Source organism: Homo sapiens, chromosome 3 (genome assembly GCF_000001405.40).
Source record: "Homo sapiens chromosome 3, GRCh38.p14 Primary Assembly".
Classification (NCBI taxonomy): Eukaryota; Metazoa; Chordata; class Mammalia; order Primates; family Hominidae; genus Homo; species Homo sapiens.
In genome coordinates this window covers 87334836-87352816 of record NC_000003.12, presented here as the reverse complement: position 1 = coordinate 87352816, position 17981 = coordinate 87334836, and the positions used below count along the sequence as shown (strand labels likewise).

The following is a 17981-nucleotide window of genomic DNA, read 5'->3' as shown; positions in this document are numbered from 1 at the left end:
TTCACAATCCACATATGAGGTATATATACTATTATACACCTCCTTTTCTACAGATGGGAAAAAGCTTAAGTGACTCATGGAAGGATGTTTAGCTAGTAAGTGACGTAGCCAGGATTTCAGAACAGACCATTTTGTTTCAGAGTTCATATTTTTATAGTCATTACACTATATCTCAAATTATAATAAAACTACACGTAACACATGCATAACATTTATTATGATCCAAGCACAGTTGTAAGTGCTTTAGATATATTAAATCATTTATGAGGAATATATTTTTATTATGCCTATTTTGTACATCAGGAAACTGCACAGAGAGGTTAAGTAATTTTCCCAAGGCCAGTAAATCATAGAGACAGAATTTAAAACTGACCTAGGCTCCAGGGAGTGTGTTCTTAACCATAGTGATATCCACACTTTTGGTTGACCTGTGGATTCTACCTGCAAAATCCATTTTGATGTTTTCCATGGCTAGAGAGCAAAATCATGCTAAGGTTTGTAGGAAGGATGCCAGAATGCATAACTTGTTAGGGAGCTGGAATGATAATCAAAATATTCCAGGTTGGATTACCTCAGACTACAAAGTGCAAAGAGATGTTTCGGATTGTTATTAAAATGTCTGAGTCTAGCCAGTTGACAAATGCAGGCCTCACAGTAGGAAAAACCACCACTAATTCTTTCAGCAAGCTAGGTAACTATTACAGGTAAGCAGGAAGCAACCTGAATGACTCTGTTAATCATTATGAGAATGTGAGATGGATAAGCCAGACAGAAATATTCATACTTTATAGTCTCATTTTATAAGAACCAGAAGGGTTGCAGGAGGCATCATTTTGCCAAACTACTGTGCAAGTGCCCTGGGACTAAGACCCAGATATTCTAATTCATACTCAGATGGTCTTCCTATTACATTATGTGTGCATCCCTTGGTTCCTTATTGGAGTTTTCAGAGTAAGCCAAGAAATAAGGCCGTAGATTTGAGAACAACTAAAGATACACGAAAAAGCAATGCCACATATTAAGAAACAAGGAAACTGGTATCTGGTGGTCACCTTACTAAGAAAAAATTTTGAAAGGTTAACTTCAGTATTCACAGATTTTGGCAGATAATATTTCAAAATAAATTCCTATAACTTGGAGGAGAAGAGGAAAGGAGTGGGGTTAGCTTTTAGAAAATCTATTTTCATATCATGTTTGGTTGAAATATTTTAAACTAGAATACTAATAAGCACTACTGAAGATATTTCTACAGTTATAAAATTGTATAATATAGAAAAATATAAATGTATGTGGGACCAGCTCATTTGCATGTAATTTAAATATGTCATAAGAGAGTTGAACAACAGCGAACTTCAAATAGAACTATCGGTTATACTAGAGTATAGGTACAAAATCAAGATTAATCAGGAAAAGTTAAGAAGTATCTTTATATAGACCACATTTTGTAACCAGTTAAATTTTAGAAAAAGGTACATATGTTCTCAAAGTTTAATTTTCACATTGACATATATTGTGAAAGCAAAAAGAATAAGGTTTATAGGAACATAATTGGGTGCTAAGATAGGTGAGGTTAGAGCTATCACAGATGCATAGGTTATAATTTAATGAATTCTTTTCTATATCATTATTAAAATATTTTCTGAAAAATAACGGGATTGTTGGTGGAGGACAAGAATCATCTACCAAAAACTCCTGAGCTAGTTGGTTTTCAGAAATCATAACTTTTTGTATTTGAGAAATGTAATGTGGAGCTTAATTTAAATGTTACATAATCCTCGGGGGTTTGAATAGCACCCTATAATCAGTCATATTAATATTTACATTACAGAGAAAAAAAAGACTATAAATATTCTATCGTCAGGTTAAGTCAGATTATTCCACAAAATAAGTTCAAGTTAGGTCAGATTTTGCCCTTCCAAAGTGAGTTAAGGTAACAGTTTTCAGAGCTTTAGGGTATCAAAACTGCACGAAGGCTTGAGGCACTATCCAAGAGCACCACGGTGATTAACAGTGCCATCTAGTGGCAAAGAAGTGAATCTGTGCACCCGTACATATTTGTCAATGACTATAATGCTAGTAACACTTATATTTAACAAAATAATTAATCAAGTATTTTCTCTCTGGGGATATAAAAATAGATAAGAAATTTTCCCCTACAGAGAGGAATTTTTAGTCTACGAATAAAGACATTGTGTACACATACTGTCAGTACAACATAATTAGTGTAATGGAAGATGGTAATACGGGAGAGGCTCTTACTTGGATCAACTGGGGAAACGTTTTCTGAAAGAGGAAGCAGCTGAGTGAAGACTTGAAAGTAGATGGAAAGGGGTAAGACTGCTTCTACAAAGAAAATGCAGAGAAGAAGGCAAAAACAGAAATCCAAACTGATAGAGGTATTGACATAAGATAAAACTAAACAGGACAAGAGGAAAGATTCCTGACTCATATATAGTAACTTCTTGAATGCCAAATGTTAAGCATGTTTGTTTATTTCTAGTTTTTAATATTCTATTTGATTTAATGTCACTGCTCTTTATTATCAGTCTTTAATGGAAAATAAAATTTAAAATTATATATTATGTCCTATATCTATAAAATAACTTCAGATTCTTTTGGAAATTAAAAAAACCTATTTTTTTTATAAATTATAAAAATAATATAAAGTATTATTTTAAATAATTAATCATTTGCAACTTACAATATAAACCTTAAGGTATGGGCAGTAATCTACGCATGAGGGTAAAATGTGTCTCAATTAGAGAGTTAACTGGATTATTGCATCATAACAATTTACCGTCAATCCAATTGACTCTACTGATAAGTGTTTTAAATTATTATTTCATAATTTTTCTAATAATGACTCTTTTTTTCATTTTATTTGCTTCTATTCTTATTGAGACCTATTTTACCCTCAATTGTTTTGCAATGTTTTTATGATATTTGGACATTCTGGTCCATGTTTCCCAAATTATAGCTTTATTCCAATTTTAATGTAATAAGAATATTTATTTTTCTATTTGGTGAAAATCTCTCAGACTACCACTCACGGAACTTTTTTTTTTTCTTTTGGCCTCTGTATAGATCAAACCGGAAGGATTCAGAGCCATTGCAATTCAATAGGCCCATATTAAGATACAGAAAATGCATTTGCTATTCTTCATCCTCTAGGTAGTGGCCGCAGATACCTGTATGTGGACACATATACACAAAAATGCAACTTTAATTTGATCAAACAATACTCATACTTACTATTTATAAAAATTTATAAATAAATAAATAAAAGGCAAGCAAGGATTGGTAAACAATCTACAGAGAAAAAAAAATTTGTTTAAGAGTGTGATGCCAAGAATGCTGTGTACCTTGGACAGGCAAAGAAAACTAAGTTCAGTAGAATAGTGAGAATTAAAGGCAGCCGGCAAGGAGGCCAGAAATGCCTCTTAATTCCAACTACATTTTTTTCGTACAGGTCTTCCTCCCTTTCCATGTTCTGTTATGTTTATCTGTTCACAGTCTTTCTCCAAGAGACTATGAAAGCTTTATGAAAAAGTCCACCTGCTGTTTAACTTTGTATTCCTTGTATGTGGCATAGTACATAGCATGTATGCATTTTATTTATTTGGATCTATATTCACAGTAAATAAATTCTTTATTACTTTGTGCTGACATATGTACACCCTTCCCTATTGCTGACCCGCACATGCAAGAAGCCTTAATAAGGCTGTATGAGATAGAGCAAGAACACGGGGTTCTTCAGCACAGCCCAGGAGCTGCAGTCACTTTATCAGATGTCCCTTCCTTAGTTCCTGATATCCGTTCTGATTCCTTTTCCCCCCACTGAGGCCATGTGCTTCATCGTAGGCACAGTGAAATGCCAAAACAATGTTTGTTTTACATTTGTCACTACATTGCTCGTTCATTTTGCTTAAAAATAATTTAATTTGTGAAACTGTCAAAACTACAAATTTAGTCAACATCTTAAGGCCTTATAAATTTTTCTTTTTAATTTCCTTCCATCAATAAAGAGACACAGTGTTAAAAGTCTTCTATTACTGAGATAATTTTAATAATCATTTTAATTAGAACAACTAAACATAAGTTAGCTAAGTGCATAGTGAATAAAGCAGCAAAATACTCTAAAGAATCTTATTGGGGTTGAAGAAATGAACTATAATTATCCAAAACCATGGGTTAAGAAGAAGAAAGAAAGAAGCAAGGAAATTGAAGGCAGAGAGGCCAGAATGATAGTGAAATAACCATGTTAGATGAATGTGTCTTTTCCAGTTCCTTGGGTATACAATTTTTATAAAATGTGAAAGAGGCTACATGGATGATCACAGATTTGTTCTTTTATGAAAACTTAAACAAGATCTTAAAATATTTTCCCTTTAGATACCACAATTTTTTTCTTTCTTCTTCACAAATGAGCTTCTTTGGAAATGCTGATTAATACAATAAAGACAAAATTTTATTAGTTTTATTACTACTCCTGTTTGCGTCTCATCTTGAAAAGTGGAATATGAATCATTCCTTGATCAGCTTCTCTTATGTCTATTAATGTTCAGCATCATGTCATTCCTTTGTCTCTTGGGTTATGGGACCCTGATGCTTTCTATTTCCTCTACATTTTCTTTTAGGCAAGATTTCTGTGCAGCCATAGCTTGCCACTTGTCTTTTTATAATATTTGGCAAGTGGAAATTATACATCTTGCATCTACCCTTCTCATTTCCTTTAGATTGGACCCTTTTCATCCACCATCTTTATCCTACTTTATATTGATTTAAAAGCATCTTTTCTCTTTGTTTTCCTTATATATTTTATTTTTTTGTTTTTGTACATGCAAGCATATAACTGGCTTACTTTTCATCAATTTTATGACACTCTATTTAATAATTCAAAAAGTCATCTTATGACTTCCTGAATATGGCTTTTATAATTCGACCTATCTTCTCATATCTTCTGATGGTAGTCTTTCTGTCCCTTTCTTTTAGATCTTATGCATTTGTTTTCATTTTTCTGTTACTTTTTAATCTTTTTAACCAGTGTTAGTCTTTTTTTTACCAATATGCATTAAATAATCCTGCCTGACTTCATATCTTTTTCTGTTGTGTCCTTGTTAAATTATAAAACACAAAATGATATATTCATGTAAAAATCATGGTTTTCCTTCTTCCAGTGGAAGACATGTTAGAGATGTTTATCTCCTAATATTACCTTTAAAATCTTTAGAAATATGCAGTCTATCTGTGCAAACCAGATAGTTAATATACAGATAAATATCTAACTCATTACAAATTTTTTATAAGATACAGAAAGTTATAAAAAATAAATATTTACCCCATATTTACTCATACCATTAGCTCTTCTAAAAATTTTGTAAGGAGATTAAAGTTCTTTCTTTCACCCCTCCAGTCGCACCAAGGTAAAAACTGAGAGTTATATGTACTTCCTAACTTTCTGCTTTACTTATGCAGGCATCATAATACATATATCAATATGTGTATCTATTTTACAAATCTCTTTCTAACACTTCTTGTTACATATCAGCGTGTAACCTGCATTTTTGCTTAAAATTAGTTTATTACATATGATACATTTCCTTTAAAAAGATGCATGATGTAGATGGCGCCTTAGTTTGCCTCCAGTTTTTGCTAATATAAACAATACTGAAATGGAATTTAGATATATATGTACATATCACTCTGTGTATGTGTATATGTACCTACCTAACTACATGCATATGTACATACATATATATACACATATATTCACATTCTGTTATTTATGTGGGATAGATTATTACAACAGGAATTGTTGGATAATGGAATATTTATACTTTTTTTTTGATGGAGTCTTGCTCTGTCTCTAGGCTGGAGTGCAGTGGCGCGATCTCAGCTCAATGCAATCTCCACCTCCTGGGTTCAAGGGATTCTCCTGCCTCAGCCTCCCGAGTAGCTGGGATTACAGATGCGTGCCACGACACCCAGCTAATTTTTGTATTTTTAGTAGAGACAGGGTTTCAACATATTGGCCAGGATGGTCTCAATCTCCTGACCTCGTGATCCACCTGCCTTGGCCTCCCAAGTGCTGGCATTACAAGAGTGAGCCACCACACCCGACCTATACTTCTGTATTTTTATTTTTATTTCCAACATGGTGTGAGTTTACAAATAAATATAAATGTAATTTTATTACAGTTTTATTTCCCAACTCATGTTCTCACACTGTAAATTCTTAAAGTAAGGAATTCTCACCAACTTTGTCCCCATATTGACTTGTGCCAACTCCTCTCTCTTTTTCAAAGAATCTTGAAGATGGCCGAATAGGAACAGCTCCGGTCTACAGCTCCCAGCATGAGCGACGCAGAAGACGGGTGATTTCTGCATTTCCATCTGAGGTACCGGGTTCATCTCATTAGGGAGTGCCAGACAGTGGGCGCAGGTCAGTGGGTGCGCGCACCATGCACGAGCCGAAGCAGGGAGAGGCATTGCCTCACTCGGGAAGTGCAAGGGGTCAGGGAGTTCCCTTTCCTAGTCAAAGAAAGGGGTGACAGATGGCACCTGGAAAATCGGGTCACTCCCACCGAATACTGTGCTTTTCTGATGGTCTTAAAAAACGGCTCACCAGGAGATTATATTCCGCACCTGGCTTGGAGGGTCCTACGCCCACAGAGTCTCACTGATTGCTAGCACAGCAGTCTGAGATCAAACTGCAAGGCGGCAGCGAGACTGGGGGAGGGTCGCCTGCCATTGCCCAGGCTTGCTTAGGTAAACAAAGCAGCAGGGAAGCTCGAACTGGGTGGAGCCAACCACAGCTCAAGGAGGCCTGCCTGCCTCTGTAGGCTCCACCTCTGGTGGCAGGGCACAGACAAACAAAAAGGCAGCAGTAACCTCTGCAGACTTAAATGTCCCTGTCGGACAGCTTTGAAGAGAGCAGTGGTTCTCCCAGCATGCAGCTGGAGATCTGAGAACGGGCAGACTGCCTCCTCAAGTGGGTCCCTGACCCCTGACCCCCGAGCAGCCTAACTGGGAGGCACCCCCTAGCAGGGGCAGACTGACACCTCACATGGCCAGGTACTCCAACAGACCTGCAGCTGAGGGTCCTGTCTGTTAGAAGGAAAACTAACAAACAGAAAGGACATCCACACCAAAAACCCATCTGTACATCACCATCATGAAAGACCAAAAGTAGATAAAACCACAAAGATGGGGAAAAAAAAGAGCCAAAAAACTGGAAACTCTAAAAAGCAGAGTGCCTCTCCTCCTCCAAAGGAACGCAGTTCCTCACCAGCAACGGAACAAAGCTGGATGGAGAATGACTTTCACGAGCTGAGAGAAGAAGACTTCAGACGATCAAATTACTCCGAGCTACTGGAGGACATTCAAACCAAAGGCAAAGAAGTTGAAAACTTTGAAAAAAGTTTAGAAGAATGTATAATTAGAATAACCAATACAGAGAAGTGCTTAAAGGAGCTGATGGAGCTGAAAACCAAGGCTCGAGAACTACGTGAAGAATGCAGAAGCCTCAGGAGCTGATGCGATCAACTGGAAGAAGGGATATCAGCAATAGAAGATGAAGTGAATGAAATGAAGTGAGAAGGGAAGTTTAGAGAAAAAAGAATAAAAAGAAACAAGCAAGGCCTCCAAGAAATTTGGGACCATGTGAATGATGGGGAGAATGGAACCAAGTTGGAAAACACTCTGCAGGATATTATCCAGGAGAACTTCCCCAATCTAGCAAGGCAGGCCAACATTCAGATTCAGGAAATACAGAGAACACCACAAAGATACTCCTCGAGAAGAGCAACTCCAAGACACATAATTGTCAGATTCACCAAAGTTGAAATGAAGGAAAAAATGTTAAGGGCAGCCAGAGAGAAAGGTCGGGTTACCCACAAAGGGAAGCCCATCAGACTAACAGCGGATCTCTCGGCAGAAACTCTACAAGCCAGAAGAGAGTGGGGGCCAATATTCAACATTCTCAAAGAAAAGAATTTTCAACCCAGAATTTCATATCCAGCCAAACTAAGCTTCATAAGTGAAGGAGAAATAAAATCCTTTACAGACAAGCAAATGCTGAGAGATTTTGTCACCACCAGGCCTGCCCTACAAGAGCTCCTGAAGGAAGCACTAAACATGGAAAGGAACAACCGATACAAGCCGCTGCAAAATCATGCCAAAATGTAAAGACCATCAAGACTAGGAAGAAGCTGCGTGGACTAACGAGCAAAATAACCAGCTAACACCATAATGACAGGATCAAATTCACACATAACAATATTAACTTTAAATGTAAATGGACAAAATGCTCCAATTAAAAGACACAGACTGGCAAATGGGATAAAGAGTCAAGACCCATCAGTGTGCTGTATTCAGGAAACCCATCTCATGTGCAGAGACACACATAGGCTCAAAATAAAAGGATGGAGGAAGATCTACCAAGCAAATGGAAAACAAAAAAAGGCAGGGGTTGCAATCCTAGTCTCTGATAAAACAGACTTTAAACCAACAAAGATCAAAAGAGACAAAGAAGGCCATTACATAATGGTAAAGGGATCAATTCAACAAGAAGAGCTAACTGTCCTAAATATATATGCACCCAATACAGGAGCACCCAGATTCATAAAGCAAGTCCTGAGTGACTACAAAGAGACTTAGACTCCCACACAATAATAATGGGAGATTTTAACACCCCACTGTCAATATTAGACAGATCAACGAGACAGAAAGTCAACAAGGATACCCAGGAATTGAACTCAGCTCTGCACCAAGCAGACCTAATAGACATCTACAGAACTCTCCACCCCAAATCAACAGAATATACATTTTTTTCAGCACCACACCACACCTATTCCAAAATTGACCACATACTTGGAAGTAAAGCTCTCCTCAGCAAATGTAAGGGAAAAGAAATTATAACAAACTATCTCTCAGACCACAGTGCAATCAAACTAGAACTCAGGATTAAGAATCTCACTCAAAACCACTCAACTACATGGAAACTGAACAACCTGCTCCTGAATGACTACTGGGTACATAACGAAATGAAGGCAGAAATAAAGATGTTCTTTGAAACCAACGAGAACAAAGACACAACATACCAGAATCTCTGGGACGCATTCAAAGCAGTGTGTAGAGGGAAATTTATGGCACTAAATGCCCACAAGAGAAAGCAGGAAAGATCCAAAATTGACACCCTAACATCACAATTAAAAGAACAAGAAAAGCAAGAGCAAACATATTCAAAAGATAGCAGAAGGCAAGAAATAACTAAAATCAGAGCAGAACTGAAGGAAATAGAGACACAAAAACCCTCCAAAAAATTCATGAATCCAGGAGCTGGTTTTTTGAAAGGATCAACAAAATTGATAGACCGCTAGTAAGACTAATAAAGAAAAAAAGAGAGAAGAATAAAATAGACGCAATAAAAAATGATAAAGGGGATATCACCACCAATCCCACAGAAATACAAACTACCATCAGAGAATACTATGAACACCTCTACGCAAATAAACTAGAAAATCTAGAAGAAATGGATAAATTCCTCGACACATACACCCTCCCAAGACTAAACCAGGAAGAAGTTGAATCTCTGAATAGACCAATAACAGGAGCTGAAATTGTGGCAATAATCAATAGCTTACCAACCAAAAAGAGTCCAGGACCAGATGGCTTCACAGCCGAATTCTACCAGAGGTACAAGGAGGAACTGGTACCATTCCTTCTGAAACTATTCCAATCAATAGAAAAAGAGGGAATCCTCCCTAACTCATTTTATGAGGCCAGCGTCATCCTGATACCAAAGCCGGGCAGAGACACAACCAAAAAAGAGAATTTTAGACCAATATCCTTGATGAACATTGATGCAAAAATCCTCAATAAAATACTGGCAAACCGAATCCAGCAGCACATCAAAAAGCTTATCCACCATGATCAAGTGGGCTTCATCCCTGCGATGCAAGGTTGGTTCAATACACGCAAATCAATAAATGTAATCCAGCATATAAACAAAACCAAAGACAAAAACCACATGATTATCTCAATAGATGCAGAAAAGGCCTTTCACAAAATTCAACAACCCTTCATGCTAAAAACTCTCAATAAATTAGGTATTCATGGGATGTATCTCAAAATAATAAGAGCTATCTATGACAAACCCACAGCCAATATCATACTGAATGGGCAAAAACTGGAAGCATTCCCTTTGAAAACTGGCACAAGACAGGGATGCCCTCTCTCACCACTCCTATTCAACATAGTGTTGGAAGTTCTGGCCAGGGCAATTAGGCAGGAGAAGGAAATAAACGGTATTCAATTAAGAAAAGAGGAAGTCAAATTGTCCCTGTTTGCTGGCGACATGATTGTATATCTAGAAAACCCCATTGTCTCAGCCCAAAATCTCCTTAAGCTGATAAGCAACTTCAGCAAAGTCTCAGGATACAAAATCAATGTGCAAAAATCACAAGCATTCTTATACACCAACAACAGACAAACAGAGAGCCAAATCATGAGTGCACTCCCATTCACAATTGCTTCAAAGAGAATACAATACCTAGGAATCCAACTTACAAAGGATGTGAAGGAGCTCTTCAAGGAGAACTACAAACCACTGCTCGAGGAAATAAAAGAGGGTACAAACAGATGGAAGAACACTCCATGCTCATGGGTAGGAAGAATCAATATCATGAATATGGCCATACTGCCCAAGGTAATTTACAGATTCAATGCCATCTCCATCAAGCTACCAATGACATTCTTCATAGAATTGGAAAAAACTACTTTAAAGTTCATATGGAACCATAAAAGAGACCGGATCGCCAAGTCAATTCTAAGCCAAAAGAACAAAGCTGGAGGCATCACACTACCTGACTTCAAACTATACTACAAGGCTACAGTAACCAAAACAGCATGGTACTGGTACCAAACAGAGATATAGATCAATGGAACAGAATAGAGCCCTCAGACATAACGCCGCATATCTACAACTATCTGATCTTTGACAAACCTGAGAAAAGCAAGCAATTGGGAAAGGATTCCCTATTTAATAAATGGTTCTGGGAAAACTGGCTAGCCATATGTAGAAAGCTGAAACTGGATCCCTTCCTTACACCTTATACAAAAATCAATTCAAGATGGATTAAAGACTTAAACGTTAGACCTAAAACCATAAAAACCCTAGAAGAAAACCTAGGCAATACCATTCAGGACATAGGCATGGGCAAGGACTTCATGTCTAAAACACCAAAAGCAATGGCAACCAAAGCCAAAATTGAAAGATGGGATCTAAGTAAACTAAAGAGCTTCTGCACAGCAAAAGAAACTACCAGCAGACTGAACAGGCAACCTACAAAATGGGAGAAAATTTTCGCAACCTACTCATCTGACAAAGGGCTAATATCCAGAATCTACAATGAACTCAAACAAATTTACAAGAAAAAAACAAACAACCCCATCAAAAAGTGGGTGAAGGACATGAACAGACACTTCTCAAAAGAAGACATTTATGCAGCCAAAAAACACATGAAAAAATGTTCACCATCACTGGCCATCAGAGGAATGCAAATCAAAAACCACAATGAGATACCATCTCACACCAGTTAGAATGGCAATCATTAAAAAGTCAGGAAACAACAGGTGCTGGAGAGGATGTGGAGAAATAGGAACACTTTGACACTGTTGGTGGGACTGTCAACTAGTTCAACCATTGTGGAAGTCAGTGTGGTGATTCCTCAGGGATCTAGAACTAGAAATACCATTTGACCCAGCCATCCCATTACTGGGTATATACCCAAAGGATTATAAATCATGCTGCTATAAAGACACATGCACACGTATGTTTATTGCGGCAGTATTCACAATAGCAAAGACTTGGAACCAACCCAAATGTCCAACAGTGATAGACTGGATTAAGAAAATGTGGCACATATGTACCATGGAATACTATGCAGCCATAAAAAGTGATGAGTTCACGTCCTTTGTAGGGACATGGATGAAATTGGAAATCATCGTTCTCAGTAAACTATCGCAAGAACAAAAAACCAAACACCGCATATTCTCACTCATAGGTGGGAATTGAACAATGAGAACACATGGACACAGGAAGGGGAACATCACACTCTGGGGACTGTTGTGGGGTGGGGGGAGGGGGGAGGGATAGCATTTGGAGATATACTTAACGCTGTATGATGAGTTAGTGGGTGCAGCGCACCAGCATGGCACATGTATACATATGTAACTAACCTGCACATTGTGCACATGTACCCTAAAACTTAAAGTATAATAATAATAAATTAAAAAAAAGAAAGAATCTTAATATTATGCCATGCTTTATCGATTATTGCAACAATTGCTTTGGCATAAAACCTTCATATTAAAATCCAATCTTCGTTTCCTCTCACCTTCTATTACTCTTGATGTGATATTGCCAATGGAAAGCATGCCTAACCTCAGTCTATCAGGCTCTGTCCTCTACTCCTTTCATGTTTAGCCTTCATTTTTACTCTCTTATTATATATTCGCTCAAGAATGGATTCTTATTCAGCCAAGAATTACACGAACAGGCTGGTTTCTTTAATTTCCTTCATTTGTCCACCCAGAAAGCACAATCACTCCTGGCAGCCTGGGTTCATGTTTGAGCAACCATTTAGTCAAGAAGTCATTTGGAAAATGAGAGTTATAATTAAATATTTCACTTTACCTACAGTGGCTTTGATTACACTGGGCCTTTGGCCAAATCACCTTCTTGACCTTGGTTGGCAGTCATAGAAAAGTAGTATCTGTTAAACAGAAATGAAACTGTTGCTTTTCCTCCAGTACCTTTGAAAAATTATCAGACCTATAATCACTCAAATGAAGCGTAATGTCCTGCCAAAGACAAAAAAAAAAAAAAAAAAAAACCATTCTGTCTGAAGCTAGATAAGAGGTCAATATGTTATATACTGTTGTACTCTCTTTTTTACTGCACAATATTATTTCCTAGAAATTTTCCACTGGCTTTGTATTTTATATCTTATAAATAAATAAACCAAAAACATTTCTCATGGTAACACCCTAATACATTTGGGACTTGAGTAACATGGATTCACTTTCTTTTTTCTTTTTCTTTTTCCTTTTTTTTTTTTTTTTTTGAGACAGAGTCTCATTTGTAACCCAGGCCCAGGCTGGAGTGCAATGGTACGATCTTGTCTCAATGAAACCTCTGCCTCCCAGGTGCAAGTGATTCTCCTGCCTCAGCCTCCAGAGTAGCTGGGATTACAGGTGTGCACCACCACACTCGGCTAATTTTAGTATTTTTAGTAGAGATAGGGTTTCATCATGGTGGCCAGTCTTGTCTCAAACCCCTGAACTCAAGTGATCCACCCACCTCGGCCTCCCAAAGTGTTGGGATTATAGGCATGAGCCACTGTGCCTGGCATGGATTCACTTTCCAAATCCACATCTTAAGTCTCTGAGTTATGATCTTTCCTCTTTGCACTGGCACTGTTTTGCCCGAAGTTGATAGGTGAAAATATTCTCTACTTGGGCAAGAATAGAAATAACATTCTTTGTTTTTTTTTATTAATATGGACATTACTTTGCCACCTGCACATCGTCATTTGGAGCCCATGACTCTCACTTTAATCAACAACACAAAACATTTGAACTGCAGATATTCATTGAGGGATTAACTGTCTTATTCAACAATAATGGAGCTATCAATTCAAGACCAAGTTAGGAACTAAGCTTATTTTTTCAGAAAGATGAAATGCATGTCAAACAGCCATCCCTTTATAATTTCAAAGCGACACACCAACACAATTCCCTTGAACTACTCTACAAATGACTTCCAAAAATGCTAATTTAAAGAATTTAACATAACAGGAAAATATTTCTGTATCATTTACCAAATTGCTCTTATTTCTGTGTGACCCAAGGCAAATTGGTTTACCTCACTAAGTCACAAATTTCTACAGGACAAAATTAAAGTCTTAGATGGATGATACTATCTTTTTTACTTTTCTAAAGTTCACATTTCATAATCTACCACAGTATATATTGAAGATGTTCAATTCAGACTTAAAAAACAGGGAAAAATGTGTCTTTTCTAAAGAACAAGGATGCTTCCTTTAATCAGACAATGGATAGAAAATCATTCTGTGCTTTTCCTCCCTTTGGCAACTAGAAAGCTTGGAATCAAATTCTATATTCAGTTAATATGATTTTCTTATCCTAGTTTCCTGGCATAATATCTACCATCTCTGTAATTTATTTAACTTTTATTTTCTGAAATTAATTTTACCTACAGTATATGTATTTTACTCTATGCCACCTCATATCTTTTGGGACTTAAATGATGATAAATATGTATAAAAATATTTTCATTTTGACCATCCACTTACATTCTGTTTCATTTTTTTACTTGCATATTTTTACAGATTTTTGGATGAAATATTTGTGCTTGATTGTAAAAATTCTAAATTTTTTTTTCTGTTTTTTTTTAAATTATACTTTAAATTTTAGGGTACATGTGCACAACGTGCAGGTTTGTTACATATGTATACATGTGCCATGTTGGTGTGCTGCACCCATTAACTCATCATTTACATTCGGTATATCTCCTAATGCTATCCCTCCCCCCTCCCCACACCCCACAACAGGCCCCAGTGTGTGATGTTCCCCTTCCTGTGTCCATGTGTTCTCGTTGTTCAATTCCCAGCTGTGAGTGAGAACATGCGGTGTTTGGTTTTTTGTCTTTGAGATAGTTTGCTGAAAATGGTGGTTTCCAGCTTCATCCATATCCCTACAAAGGACATGAATTCATCATTTTTTATGGCTGCACAGTATTCCATAGTGTATATGTGCCACATTTTCTTTATCCAGTCTATCATTGTTGGACATTTGGCTTGGTTCCAAGTCTTTGCTATTGTGAATAGTGCCACAATAAACATACATGGGCATGTGTCTTTATAGCAGCATGATTTATAATCCTTTGGGTATATACCCAGTAATGGGATGGCTGGGTCAAATGGTATTTCTAGTTCTAGATCCCTGAGGAATCGCCACACTGACTTCCACAATGGTTGAACTAGTTGACAGTCCCACCAACAGTGTAAAAGTGTTCCTATTTCTCCACATCCTCTCCAGCACCTGTTGTTTCCTGACTTCTTAATGATCGCCATTCTAACTGGTGTGAGATGGTATCTCACTGTGGTTTTTGATTTGCATTTCTCTGATGTCCAGTGATGATGAGCATTTTTTCATGTGTCTTTTGGCTGCATAAATGTCTTTTGAGAAGTGTCTGTTCATATCCTTCACCCACTTGTTGGTGGGGTTGTTTGTTTTTTTCTTGTTAATTTGTTTGAGTTCATTGTAGATTCTGGATATTAGCCCTTTGTCAGATGGGTAGATTGCAAAAATTTTTTCTCATTCTGTAGGTTGCCTGTTCACTCTGATGGTAAATTTTTAATATAGATTTTTAAATAAATAAAAGATACTTAAAGAACATTCAAATTATCCATTATTTTTGTGGATGTTTTTGTTGTAAGAAATATAAACCTACTCAAACAAGCTAAAGCCGGAAAGGGCACTGATTGAACAGATGCAGGGAGTTTGATGAAATGCACGGCAGAGGAAATGTACAAGGGAAGAGTCAGAAGCTACAGGAATCTTGTTTTCCCTTTTTTATTTGTTAGTTTTATTTCCTTTCTCTGTAAATTTGTTCTTGCTGCTTTAGTATACATGCAAATATAGGTAAGTAGAAAATGACTGACCCAGCCTTAGTTTTACCATGAATTCCAGTTTCAAATTACAAGGACACAGGATTTGATTGGCTTATCTTGGGTCAGATGCCTACTGGCAGATACAGCTTAGGCCTGCATCTTCAATAGCAGCTGCTGGTAATGAGAGGTTTTCAAAGAGGAGGACATGGGAGGGGCATTTGACTTACTCATTCAATCACTACTCCCATTGCCTTACTATATAAATCACTGTTTATATTTTTGTAAATTTACTTTGATTTTTTTTGCAGGATGATTTTTATGAATATATGTGGTAGGTATGATTTGGACCCTTTAATTTCCACTTTACTGTAAGACATACATTTTCTTTTCTTATCATTAAAAACATGTTTTAGGCCACGTAGTTTTCTTTTCTTTTTTTTTTTCATTACTGACAAGAATTTTCATAATGAAGATTACCTTCAGTGATTATCTTCAGATTAATGGCTCAGATACATAATTAAATTTTTGTGAACTGAAATGTCATCATTTTTCTCATTTACCACTACTTTATTCAAAGTGGAAAAAAAATTGTGAGTTAATATTACCAAAAGGAAATGCAGCTATTTTTGCCCATCTATAAATTTAATATTTCTAACAGTTTTCTCAATTGTTTATATTAACCCTTTATAAAAGGTAGACATTTTACTGGCTCTTTGTTCAATAAAATAAATATAAAAATACTGGTCATGCCCTGCCTAGCTTGCATTATCAATAAGAGTATTAAATTAAGGCAAATAAGTGAATACTCCTTTAGAAGTATGGGGTGTTACCCATTTGTAAGAAGTTGTTATTTATAGCATCACTTTTATCAGCAGTCATAATGACAAAAAATTCTCCAAATTCTATTATGCTTGCACCTGAATTATTAGAAAACAAATCAAATGACTTTTCCTTTTTAATTCCATCCTCATTCCTGAGAACATATGTCATTTTTTTATTTTGCATCAGAAGCAGTACAGAAGGAAGTAGACTTCCCTCTACATTTGCCTCACATTAGAGATGACAGAGATGACACTAGGATTCACTTCCAAATTCAGCTTATTTTGGTTGTGTCCCCTCTCCATGGTCCTGTGGCCACATGTGGAGCTCTGGGCACTCAGCCACCTGCTCGCTTCCCCTCAGGAAACTGCTGTGCCACCTTTCCTTCAAGATTCTTTCTGAATCTACCCACAGACGTTGGGCTAGAAGGACAATTACTCTTGAGTCATGTGGAGCTTAGATCAGGTAGTTTTTCTATTGCTGAATATTATCACATATATGGTGGCTTAAAGCAACATGAATTTATTAGCTCATAGTTCTGTAGGTTAGAAGCCCAGGCGAACTAAACTGGGTTGTCAGTTTAGGGTCTTACAGAAATCCAGGTATTGACTGGACTGGGTTCTTATCTGGAAGTTCAGAAAAAAAAAATCAACTTCTGTGCTTGTTTATGTTGTTGGTGCAATTGAGTTTCATGAAGTTGTGGCACTGTGTTTCCCATTTCCTTGGTGCTTGTCAGCAGAAGATCTCTTTGAACTCCTTAAGGCCACCTCCATTTCTTCTTCCTTGGCCTATTCCATAGTCCAAGCCAGAGAGGGGGTATTGACTCTCTCTCGTTCTTCCAACCTCTCCAACTTTCTCTTCTGCTATAGTAGAAAGTAGAAAACTCTGCTTTAAAAAGCCTAATGAATTAAATTAGTTTCACCTCCAGATTTCTCACTATTTTAAGGTCAACTTAGCCAATAACATAGCATAATTATGGGACGGATACTTTACCATATTCAGTTTCCAGGGATTAGGATGGAGCATCCTGAGTGCCATTTTAGAATTCTGCTTCCACAAGGAGCACATATTATAGGTTTGTTTCAAAAAACTAATCAATTGTCTCAGGATCATTTATTGACCACTCCTCTGGTCCCTAATGATTTGTAATTACATATTCATAAACTACTAAATTATGTAGATACTAAAACCTAGGTTTTATTTCTGAGTTAACTGTTGGTTTCATTATTGATTTCTTATGTCTGTTGACTATTTTATTTCTTTAATAAATGTACTTTCATAATATTTTATATTATCTAGCTAGGCAAATTCTCCTCTAGATCATTTCATTTCTCCAATTATCTTAGTTATATATGCTAAGATATATAAGTATACTTAGCTATACATGCTAAGAATTTTTATTTTACAAAATAAGCTTGGAATTTGCTTGGAATTGTATTAAACTATTATTATATTAGGGTAAAG

The 17981-nt window shown here is 36.7% G+C and overlaps 2 annotated features.

Moving 5' to 3' along the window:
- Positions 6167 to 6666: an enhancer, noted in NCBI's record as "H3K4me1 hESC enhancer chr3:87395301-87395800 (GRCh37/hg19 assembly coordinates)". NCBI's record gives its function as "activates a minimal SCP1, AML or CMV promoter by ChIP-STARR-seq in naive H9 embryonic stem cells {active_cell/tissue: H9 hESC(naive)}" and the evidence as "EXISTENCE:reporter gene assay evidence [ECO:0000049][PMID:30033119]".
- Positions 6667 to 7168: an enhancer, noted in NCBI's record as "H3K4me1 hESC enhancer chr3:87394799-87395300 (GRCh37/hg19 assembly coordinates)". NCBI's record gives its function as "activates a minimal SCP1, AML or CMV promoter by ChIP-STARR-seq in naive H9 embryonic stem cells {active_cell/tissue: H9 hESC(naive)}" and the evidence as "EXISTENCE:reporter gene assay evidence [ECO:0000049][PMID:30033119]".